The sequence below is a fragment of the Homo sapiens genome, chromosome 2, assembly GCF_000001405.40.
Source record: "Homo sapiens chromosome 2, GRCh38.p14 Primary Assembly".
In the NCBI taxonomy this organism is placed as follows: Eukaryota; Metazoa; Chordata; class Mammalia; order Primates; family Hominidae; genus Homo; species Homo sapiens.
The window spans coordinates 13,147,584-13,160,248 of record NC_000002.12 but is presented as its reverse complement, the minus strand read 5'-3'; the positions used below and the strand labels follow the sequence as shown (position 1 = coordinate 13,160,248).

Genomic DNA, 12,665 nt, shown 5'->3' with positions numbered 1-12,665 from the left:
GCTGCGTGACCTTTGGCAAATTATTTAATTTGTTGAGCTGTAATATCTGCATCTTAGAAACATATTACTAATGACAACATCTACAATAGAAAGTGGAGGGTTGCTAATATTGGAGATAAATAATTGAGCAAGTATGTTAAATGTCTGCTAATTGGCTGTTTTTATCCATCTTTTTATTTAATTAGTCTTAAAACGAAGCTGCTATTTTATCAGGTACACTTTTATTTTAAATTCCTAGATATCCTTTAATTCACAACAGAAATAAGAAGCTAAGACATGAAAGATAGCAATAAGTTAAAACATTTCTGACAGGAAAAATTTATAAAGTGGCAGTGGATGTGCAAATATCAGCTTAACTAAACAAGAATTTACAAGAGTGTAAATGTCATTAGCACATACTCAATATAGTGTATTTAATTTTTTTGAAAATAAAGATAAATTAACTTAGATTAAAACGAAGATTGAATAATTGGTCACATTATAATCATTAGAATGAGCTGTCTTTATTACTTTTAAATTACTCTGGATTTCAGATTTAGAATGAAGGCAATATTCTACCCGTTATTGGCATTTATTCTTTCATTTCTTCATTTAAGAAAACTCTTACAGTTCACTCTCTAACGATTGTGCTAGATGTTGGAAAGCTATAAAAATGAGTAAAATAGGTCCCTGCCTTGAGGGAACTTATAATGGCAATGTGCAGTCATAACAGAGATAAAAACATCCTGAGGTTAGAGATGATTTTGTCTGAGAAGATGAGAAATTACATCCCAGAAGAAATCACATTTTCACTGGGCTTTGAAGTAGCGAAGTACTTTGATAGACAGCAAAAGCGTGAGGAGCAAAGTCATGGATTGGTGAGAAGTGAGGCATAGTTTGGAAACCCATCATGTGTATGACTGGAGAGTAAAATGCCTAGAATGTCAATTGTGATAATGTGGACATTGTCAATGGGTGCTAGATTATGGAAGCAGTTGAATGCAATATTAAGAAGTTTATGCTAAATTCAGAGAGCAATTTGGAGCTACTGGCATTTTTTAAGTGGGTGAGAAATGTTGATAGAATTAGGTTTCGGAAGGGGACAGATTTACAGCAGACCAGTAAGGATGATGATGAGAGGAAAGGAGATACTAGGTAAATGGATACAGTGGAAACGAAAAGCTGGAGGGTTGGAGAGTATGGATTCTTTCTGTTGTGCATGGCAAACCTGTCCAGACTCCCAGCCGCCATCTGAACAGGACCCAGCTTGACTCCGAGCCTCTGATGTTTTTCTCACTTATTGATGATCACAGAGGATCCACTTCTTCAGGGTATTATAATGTCCAGATGCTCATAATTTTTCATATTTCTGATCCTAGATTAGATTCCCAGTCACTTTGCTAAATATTTATAAGAACCTTCAAAAACAAAAATGAAGCATCTTAGTTGGCTGTCTCTGCCCCCGCTCCTTTGCTCAGTAACCCTGGCTTCCTTGCAAGGACTGCTCTCTGGTCTCACTTGGCTGCTGCTGTTTCCTTGAGACCTCTGAATCCTCTCTGTCCTTGGAGTTGGTCCCTAAATCTTTTCCATCTCCCAAATCCCAGATTTCTCATCGATCATAGAAATCCTAATAATTTGGATGTAAAACTGGGAACCCAATCAAAATCTGAACAAGTGATGCCAAAAGAGGTTGTTTTTATTTTCAGAAGCCTCTTTCCATAGTCATGTCACCAAACGCTCTCCTTCCAGCTATCCACATGAACAGCTTCCTCTACACCAAGATTTTTGTCCAGATATTGCCTTCTTGCAAAGGCTCTGCTGACTTCCTGTTTAAAATTTCAACAGCCCATCCCTCACCTAGCTCAGCAACTGCTATAGCATGTTTCATTTTTTTAAAACTTCACTTTTCCTATTTTATGGCCTTCTAACATACTACTAATTTATTGTATTTAATTTTCATCCGTTTCCCCTCAATCGCCACAGAAGGCAAGCTCCATAGAGAGTGAAATTTTTGGTTGTTTTATGTTCCCAACAAATAAAAGGTATCCAATAAATGCTGTTGAATGAAGCTAAATGACAATTATAAGGTATTCAGTGTGTCAAAAAAACTTTTAATCAATGTGTGATGTGGCTTGTTTAGGAAATTTAGGGAAGTTGAATGAGAGTAGAATATTGGTTTAGGCTGGGTTGTAGAGAGCATTGATTTAGGCTGAATATGAAAATAAACTGGCATTCTTCATACCTTCAGTGAACAAGGCTAAAATAAGCTAACCCACATTGACAAGAAAAGAGCTCAGAATTATATCTCCTCAGTCGAGTATTTGCAGAGCTACCACTTAGCAAACATTTGTAACTGGCTGGGTTGAATGGGGGAATTTCATATGATGTGAATAGTATATTCCTGTTTAATATCTGTAGAAAGCAGAAACAGTCCCCCAAAGATGTCCACATCTTTATCCTCAGAACCTATGAATATGTTACATCACAAGGCAAAGGGAAATTAGTGTTAAGATTGAATTAAAATTGTTAATTAGCTGATCTTAACCAAGGAAGATTGCTCTGGATAATCCAGACGTAATTATAAGAGTCCTTAAAAACGGAAGTGGGAGGCAGAAGAGGCAGTCAGAGAGATATGATTTGAGATTTATTCAACCTACTGTTACAGGCTTAGAAAATTGAGTTAGAAAGCCATGAGCCAAGGAATGCTGGCAACCTCTAGAAGCTGAAAATGCAAGGAAACTTATTCTTCCTTACAGCCTCTAGAGGGGAACACCAAGGGAGACTCATGTCAGACTTCTGACCTGCAGAACTGTAAGTAATAAATTGGTGTTGTTCTAAGCTACAAGGTTTATAGTTTGTTATGAAAGCAAAAAAAAACTAATATAGCACTTTTCATGAGTGAATAATGATAGCTAAACTAATCACCACCCTTTATGTGATTTATTCCATGGCTATTACTTATTAAAGAGCACTCATGTGATTCCATATGCATGCAATTCTGATTTCAGACAATCACCGCTCTGAAAGTTTTGAAAATCTTTCTATATTCTTGGTAACAATATTTCTAGAATGTCTGCTGCTAAATAAAAAACTATAGACTGAAAATAAATTACAGGGCACGTTTCCAATCTCAGATTCTTGCTGTTATCTTAATCTTATTTCTCTTCAGCTATGTTTACTACTAGAAACATCTGTGAGAAGGGCCAGATGTGAAATAGCTTGGAAAACAGTTTGCTGAGAGGTGCTCTACCAAATGACTGCATCAATTATTTTGACTTGGGAAACAGTGAAGGTAGGTTTTAAAAACTGCACAGGCTGCATTGTAAAAATATTCTTCAAAGTTTATTTGTTTTTGAGATAGTTTCTATTTTTGCTCATTAGATGAAAAGCGTGGCTACATTATAGAAAGAGCATTGGATTAAAAATCAGATGATTTTTCTGTTACCAGATCTGTGAAATTTAGGATGTATGTTAACTTGGTTTTTGTATTTAAAAAGCTGCAAAACTTTAATAAATTAATGTGTATGACTATATGACTTCAAATTGAGATATTTAAATGTGAGTGAAAACTATCATAAGTAGTGGAAAGGACATTAATTCGATAGTCAAGAGACGAGGTTTCATTTGTAGGAGGAAGAGCATACATTTTAGAATTGGTTTGAATCATTTCACTATTGGCCAGCTAGGCTTCAACATGTTATTTACTGCCTTTGGTCCTCTGTTTCCTAATTTTTAATAAGGATAACAACCCAAAATGTAGGTACTCTTTTAGAGATTTATTGTAATAATGCTATTAATTTCCTAGCGCAATTTCTTCTTTTAACAAATGAATAGTGCTAATTGGAATAGGTCCAAGCAAGTTTCTCAGTACCAACTCTCATCTGCAAGACTTAACTCTCAATCTTTTGTGAGAAGTGACTCTCTTTTCTTCTGTGAGAATTAAATAAGGCAACATCTGAATTTGTCTAATACAAACAAAGTATTCGATAATAGTTTACCAAAAATTACAATTAGATTTCATAGATCCATCTAGTTCTATCTAGGGCTGGGAAAATTAGGAAGGAATATGGCAACACATGACTATTCCCTCAACCTCATGCCCCTACTTCGCACAGTGCATTTTCCTCTATTTCAAAAGAAGTCTAAGTATAAAGTTGACGTTGGGGATGAATGAGATGGGCACATGACTTTCACGGAAGATCAAAATTGGCATGCAAATTGTGGAAGCCACCAAGGGTTTGAGTCAGCTACCATGGTAGAGTTATAGCAGCACGGGAAAAGAAAGCTCTAACACAGGTTGTAACATAATTACAGCTAAGTTCAACACTGAATAAAAAGACCAGTGTAAGAAGAGCTAAGGGACAAAAGAGAACCTGAAGTGGCCTTTCTCATCTCGCTTTTGAGAGAAGGTAAGGATTAAAAAGTAACTGACATTACTTTCTCTCTCTGTAGGCCAAGGGTACTTACCCTTTATGGTATCATAAAGCTCTTGGGTAATTTAGTCAAACATGATGACCTTCCCTTAGCAAATTTAAATGAACATTTGCACAGAAATGCAGAGATTTAATGGTGACTTGAAGCCCATCCATGGGCTCCAGGTTAAGATCTCCTGCTATGAGTATGCATTTTTAATCAGAAAAGTACTTGGCAAACAGAGAATCAGGGCTCAATAAATGTTCAGTGACATTCAGCTAAAAAAGTTTAATGTATCTTTCACAGAAGTAACAGTTATTTTGCCGGGTTTAGAAAAAAAAATGTCCTTAAGCTGAGAATTATTCTTTTAAGATCACTGCTGATTTGACCTTTGAGATTATTTTTCCTTCAATAGTTTTATGGTTTACCAAATTCCCAGGTGTAGATCAGTTAAAAGTTTAATACATTTCCAGACAAGTAATAGAGGTATGTCTTCTTTTTAGAAACAGTTGAGCATCACTGATTTTATTTCAAATATATTGATATTATAATTTAGCTCTAAAATATCATTTTTTTCTGTTTCTGCTGGGGTTGCGGGGTATGCATTCAATGTTATCTAGCCCCACATTGATCCCTGTGGTGCCTCTTCTTAGATACTTTTCTTAAACACAATTTCTCACATTCTCAGACCCGTGAAGTTAGGGCTGAGAAAGGTCAATCCACTGGCCCACGCTGTCAGCTCTACCTTAGTATGAATGGCTGTATTGATTCATCTCACACTGTCACTACTCTTTCGATTCTAATTGAAGCCACTGACAGATTAATGTAGTAGTCTACAACTCCTCTTCCTACCACAATTTCACAATTCATTCTTAACACTCACTGCTCAAAATCTTCTAATGGCTTTTTATCATTCCTACAATATGTCTCAAACCCCTATCTTGCTCTACAAGGCCCATGTGGTATAGTCTTTGCCCTGGTCATTCATACCACCTCAGATAACACATTTGTTTCACTCCATCTAGAACCACCAAGTCTGCTTGATGAAAATTCCAAGCTGGTTCCTGCATGGGGTTCTGGCCCTTGCTGTTCATCTGCCGAGAGTGCTTGTCTCCCAAATTTTCTCATGGCTGGCTACTTCTCAACATTCACATCTCAGCTCAAACATCACCATTTTGGAAAGCATAGATGCCTATGTCAGTCACATCATCTACAATAGGTGCCTTACACACCATCATCCCCCCACACCATTCTTTCATTTTCATTTTCCTATTATCTTAACCTGTTAGTATCTATGACTTTTTTCCTACTTGTCCGTATATATTTATTTATTGTATTACCAAATTTCAGTTTAGTCTATAACAATGTGAATCCCCAGAGGGTAGAAATTTGTCTTCCTGACTGCTCTGTTCCCAGTATATAGCACAGTAACTGACACATGTTATACACTTAGCAAAAAGTAGTTGGATGGATGAATCAATAAATGAGAAAAATCAGTTCATTCTCTAATTAATTAATTAATTAATGTATTTTTAACCAAACTTCCCTGGGCATGAACTATGTATAAAGCAGAATGACAGGCAGTAAGCCATATACTAAAAGCAAGAGGAACCATAAATTCACGCATAGTTCATAGTCGAGATGCCCAGGTGTAATAGAATGTAGAATGTTCCAAGTACCCTAAGACAGATGCAGATAATTTGCTTTTGGAGTTCAGAAACAAAAGGTAGCTGTTTATAGCAAGATGGATTGAATCACCTGGTTCATTCCTCCAGTAGTGAATAGCAGCCCATCTGCTACCTTAGGTTCTAGGAAGCTTAATGTGGCAGCAAATTCATGGATAAATTGGATGGGAAAGAAGCCGGAGGTAAGAAGTGTAGCTCTGAAGACATCAGCAGACAGTGAAGAGGAAATGAAAGGGTCATGTGACTTGGAGATTAAGCAAATGCACCAGAGGAAAAGCCTGATACATAGTTGGTCACATTGCATTAAGGGAATTGCTTTCTCTATATAGAAATTAATTTGATATCAATTTTATTGATTTTTGGCACTTTACTATCTCTTTATTCAGTTTAAGATGCTCATCATTAAGAATGTGAGGACTTCCTCTTTGTAAGGAATTATTTAGACTGATGGAGTCTTAGAAGCCAGCAGGACTCCATAGTCAACCTGAAGATGGATGACATAGTAAAGGTTGATGATGGAATCTATTACAATGTCCTTGAGGAAGACAAAAGAGTCACAAAGTCTAACATATAGTCTTCCCCCAAAATTAGGTCTTCTTTTAGAGTACCCTAATTCAGAGAATAGCAGCACAACTATTTTACTGTATAAGCAAGGTTTCTGGGAAAAAAATCCGACACATTTCACTTTCCCTCACATATGACATGATCCAGTTTAAGTCTGGGAGAATGAAAGCTTAAAGCCAAGGAGTGTATGACCTACTAATAATAAAAACTGACCACTAATTTACAACTAAGGACAATCGATATGGAGGTATTATATTGGATGTAATATCAATCAGAATTACAAGCACATGGACTTGCCCAAGATAATTAAACTTCAAATATAAATTGCTAATTTGAGAACTCATTGAAGGATGTAACGGTGGAAGCGATACACCTACATTTATTTTGGAAAACTGTTTATTATTACATGAACAGCTTGAACCACCTCCATTTACATATCATCATCTTTTGAAGTAAAAAGACCTGGATCTGACTTCCTTCCTTCTTTCTTTCCTATTCTTTTATTTTTAAGTTTATATCATGAAATGCATATAATAGACTATATATAATATGAGTGTATAAAGTCTAAAGATAAAATGACAATATAATAAACTACTATCCAGCCTAAGAAAGACACTTCTGGATCATAATTCTTCCCTTCATAAAAAGAAAACCATCGCACTGAATATTTTAATCATAATTTTCTTGATCTTCTTTATAGGAAAGTTTTACCCATGTCTGGCCATTCTGTAAATGAAATCCTATCATAAGCTTTTTTAGTGTGTAGTTTTTTCTTCCTGCAAAAGCTTAATTTTTATGTCATCCATCAAAAGGCCTTTTACATATTTTACATTATGCACACAAATAATATATCTATAGTATGTATTTGCAGTTTAATTAATAATGTTAATGAAACAAACAGGTATATACACACAAACTGGTTTAACAACAGAAAATTACCAATAATTTTAATTGGTAATTTTCAGTCAGCTTCTCTCTGAGCATAGGAACCGCTATCCAACTTAGAGAAAAAAACTTTTTGTCTCTTAATTTTTTTTTGTTTTTTCTTAGCATGTGACCACAAATACATGCATTCCTTTACAATATTTTTAGCTTTATGTATTTTAACATTCATGTAAATGAAATTACTATAAATATTCAAAATTACTTGACTTTTCTCTTCAATATTTTGTATTTTATATCCATGTTGTTTCATGAAACTATAGTTAGCCCCTGTGCATTGCTGTAGACTATTTTACAATTTGACTACACTATGATTTACTTCTCTGTTTTTTGGTCTTCTAACTGTTATTGCTGCTTCTATTGTGGATGATGCTGCTTTGCACTTTCTGGCACACCTCTCCTGATATACATGTGCAAGAGTTTATTTCGGTTATACATATTCTTACATATTTACTGTGAAGTTATGAATTAGAAGTAATCAAATTTTCCATGTAACTTTGGATTATTATTTCAACATCTTTGATTCAGGTATACCCTATCATTTTATCAGTGTTCTTGTTTTATGTTGCCAAACTTGATATAGGCTGGTATCTTAAGTGTATTATTTTTTCATTTCCCAATTGAATAAGGGTAAAGTTATGCTCATTTTGTTTTTCAATCTCATTCCACTTATTGCATTTGAGGTTAAACAAATGTTCACTGGGCCGGGCGTGGTGGCTCATGCCTGTAATCCCAGCACTTTGGGAGGCCAAGGCGAGTGGATCGCCTGAGGTCAGGAATTCGAGACCAGCCTGGCCAACATAGTGAAACCCCGTCGCTATTAAAAATACAAAACTTAGCCTGGCATGGTGGCAGGTGCCTGTAATCCCAGCTACTCAGAAAGCTGAGGCAGGAGAATTGCTTCAACCTGGGAGACGGAGGTTGCGGCGAGCCAAGATCGCGCCATTGAACTCAAGCATGAGTGACAAGAGCAAGACTTTGTCTCAAAAAAAAAAAAAAAAATTCACTGGACATTTCTGTTTTCTTGTCTATGAAATCCCTTTTCATCCATTTTGCCCATCTTTCTATTGTGAAGTCAGTCTCTTGTATTGATTTACAGACCTTCATTTTGTGTTCTGGTTATTTTGTCAGGTTTACATATAACAAATATTCTCTAATTTTTTGCTTTGTGCTTTCACTCTCCTTACGGTAGCTTTTAATAAATAGAGTTTTTTTATTTTTGTGTGCTCAGATTTATATGTCTTTCCTTTAACTTGTTTCTTCTAAGGTGTTAAGTTTTTGTCATATATAGATTCTATAATATTAATTCTTTTATAAAGTTTTTACATTTAAACTCTTAAATGTTTAAAACCTTATTTTTGTGAATATAATGAAGTGATACTTTTTATTCTCTCTTATATTTGACTAATTGTTCTATTCTTTTGAATCATCATTCTATTCCCACTGATTTTAAATCAAAATCTATCAAAAATTAAACACGGATTTATCCATATGTCTTCCATCCTCTACCATCTTCAATTACCTATAACTGCACAAAACCAAAATCAGGTATAGTCTTTATTACTATACGTTTATTATAAGTCTTGATATCTGCAGCCAAGTCTTATTATTTTCCTTTATAAAAGTATTAATAAATATTGGCTCTTTGCTATTCTGAGGAATATATTATTTGAGTTGTCAATTTTCAGTCATGCTCCTCCCAGAAATGCTTTCTGAGTTTATTAGAATTATAACAAATTAGTATATAATTTATTATTAGAAGTTGAAGTTTTTATAATATTTACTTAGGTAATCCTTAATGGCTATAAAGTAAAATTGTCTGATTTTCTCTCTAAGGTTCTTGCACCATTATTTTTATTCAAGGGGATCTTAGTTTTGTTTCTATTAAAAGTAGTATCCATTTTAAATGACACATTTTATAATATAACTATTACTGATAATTAGAAACACAATTTACTTTTTTCTTGTGTGGATTAGATATCTGACAAACTTGTTCAACTCTCTCATGAATTTCATAATTATCTGTAGATTACATTAGGGTACTATATAGAAAAAAAATATTTTCTGGAAGTAATGATAATAAGTTTTTCCTTTCCCATCCTCCTAATCCTTCCTTCCTTCCTTCCCTTCTTCCTTCGTTCCTTCCTTCCTTCCTTCATTCCTCCCCTCCTTCCTTCCTTCTTTCCTTCCTTAAAGATTTCTTAGTTTTAAGTTATATACCTGGTTAAAATGTTGTAGAGAAATGTTGTAGAGAAGGGGCGGAAAACATGCAAGCATGCATGCATGCACAATGACTGGGAAAAAGGAGAATTTCCTAAAATTGCCTTTTCTTTTTCTTTATTCAATTAGAAATGTTATAAAAACAGGATAAAGCAAAAATGACTATCAATTATTTAAGCTTAGAAGTATTCATAATTGCCATAATTCTCTGCCAGATATTTGTCCAGGAGTAGTAAATAAAATTTGTCTCCTATAGAGAATGTCAAGGACTGTCGTAGGGAAGTGAAAAAATATGAAAACTAAACTTCGCTTACATTGACAAATTCATTATAAATAGGGTCTCAGAGGAAAATCACTGTTATGTATTTCTTTATGGGTGAATCATAAGTAAAAATAGAAAAAATTTTATGTCTGTTCGATTATGAACTAAATTCTGTCAGGTAAATTCCTATGATTTTCTTTGAAGTCAGCACTAATTAAACTCATTCACGGTTCCTCTGTGAATGTTCAATTTTACTACAATTTTGACTTTGATTAATTTGAACACTGAAGAAAAGACTTTTCAGAAACCATGTGAGCAAAATGTTTTCTCCAACCCAGTAGCACTATTCATTTAATCTTTCTACAAGGTATACATAGATCAGAATATTTCATTGTACCCCATAAATATAAACAATTATTTGTCAAATAAAAATAAGTTAATGAAATAAAATAAAATAAAATCTGCACCTAAAAAAAGAAACATATTTGGAAACTGAAACTATGTGGGTATTTCTAATTACAGCAGTTACGAACCAACATTTCTCTCTTGTTAACAAAGTCACAGTACTGAAGTAGTCTGGCCTCTATGACTTTAGGAAAATTGTGGGGTTTTGCATGTAAAACTTTATATTTGCTTAATATTTCTACCTTTTGTGCAAGTTTGCTCAAATGCTACCCTTTTTCTGGAGATATGTGTAGTTTGATTTAGAATGAAAAACTTCTGAAAGTTTGATGTGAGGATACAGAGCTGGGCAGATTCCAAGATTAAAGAGAAGAACCACGACATAAAGAGGTAGGAAGCCTGAGTTGTTGCTGTTTTGAGGATGACTAGTTGTGTATTCTGAAAATGACCATTTTGTTTGTCTTGATCTGCTTTCCTCTATCTTTAAAATAACAGGGATATGGGACTAGATCATCTATGACAATGCCTCTCTTAAAAATTTATACCAGTATAATTGGCACAATTAAGCACTGAATAAATTAGATGAAACTCAGCCACATCAAATCCAGTACACAAGCAGCAATAAGAGTGAATCAGTCCCACGCAGCTAAGTGCAATGAGAAAAGCAGTGGACACTTCTATTTACTCCCTTCTATTTACCTCTTTGGTGTATTTTTGGTTATTTCTTGGCTTTCCTATATCCCTAGTTTCAGAAAACCATCTTAGCATGGCTTCTCAGTTATGAGTTGTCCTTGGCTAGAGAAGGTCTAGGCTGAGGTTTCTCAATGAATACTCAAGAGTTGTGTTGAGTGTAGTAGTTACAAGTTGGCTTCATAGCTATAGCACCGCGAATTGCCACATCTGTAGCATAGTATTAGTGATTGCAATAATAACACTATTTAGTGGTGCTCTAAAATTAGAAAAGATAATGCCTATGAAGTGTGTGCTCAATAAACGTTAGACACTGTTAAAATTATAATAACAATTATTATTATTTCCCAGAGTGCTTGTTAAATTCAGATTTCTTGGCTTCATCCCCATTGGCAACCTAGGAGTGTAATTTTAGTGAGAAGAGATTGCAGTGTGGGGCCTTCCATGTGCAGAATCATGAATCACCATCAATGACCTCTTTTTCATAGCATAAGGACAAGAGGTTTTATATCAAAAGATAAATGGGCCATCGTCTCTTATAAAACTTGAATTCTACTCCAAACTCCAGGTGTGAACCTTGGTAAGTTTTTTTAATTTCTCTCCATCTGTACCATTTTAAAGAGAAAGTAGTTATTTCCTCAGGGCTCATAGTACGGAAAGAACAAGTTAGTACATGGAATATGCCTCACAGAAGCTCCTCATCCATTTCCCATTAAAAGCATTTCACAACCATAGCCATCATTTTCTATCCTAGTATTGGTGACTTGGTTTAATTTTGGTGTGGAATAATTTATTGTGTTGAAAGAGTATCCTAAGGCCAGCACTGTCAGATAAAAACATTGAAGCAGGCTGGTTGTAAAATGGCCTTCTTTGAGAGATGACATTGAGTCATCTTTTAAATGTCTTTTTTGAAATGAGAAAAAGCATAGTGAGGATGGTATTAGATCACATTCTACCAACAATTTCTCTTATTACCTGAAGTTACTGAGTGATAAGGTAACCTCACTGAGTCAAGTAGAGAAGCACACTGGGAAATTTGTTTTTCTTTTTCATATTTGTTTTTCTGAGATTCTTTATAGAATAAAAATATCAGCATTTCTACACAAAGTAGAAAAAATGTGGGTTAGCCAGTAATTCCTACATGTTTGTGATAGGAAACAACTGTTGTACAGAGGGGAATATGGTACCAAATATGATTGCATTGATCTGTAGATTGATTCAAATAGAACTGACATCTTAAAGGTAGCAAGTCTTTCAAGCTATGAAAATTGTGTATAAACTTCCATGTATGTAGGTCTTCTTTAATTTCTCTAATGTTTTAGGTGGGAGTGTGGAATTCATTAGAAGTACAGAAGTTTTTAAATCTTTTGTTAGATTTATTTCTGGGTATTTGATATTTTAAAATAACACTTCATGTGGAATAATATTTAAATTATTATTTTCTATTTTCTTGCTGCTAGCATGTAAAAACACAAGTGCTTTTGCTCTATTGCCCTTGTACCCAGCAA

The 12,665-nt window shown here is 34.5% G+C and overlaps 2 long non-coding RNA genes across 4 annotated transcripts in view; both read right to left on the bottom strand.

Annotated features, from left to right (window-relative positions):
- LOC105373436 (uncharacterized) overlaps positions 1-12,665 on the bottom strand; it is a 330,895-nt gene that overhangs the window by 171,435 nt on the left and 146,795 nt on the right. The window lies entirely within an intron of this gene.
- Positions 1-12,665, bottom strand: part of LOC105373484 (uncharacterized) — a 112,349-nt gene that overhangs the window by 53,380 nt on the left and 46,304 nt on the right. The window lies entirely within an intron of this gene.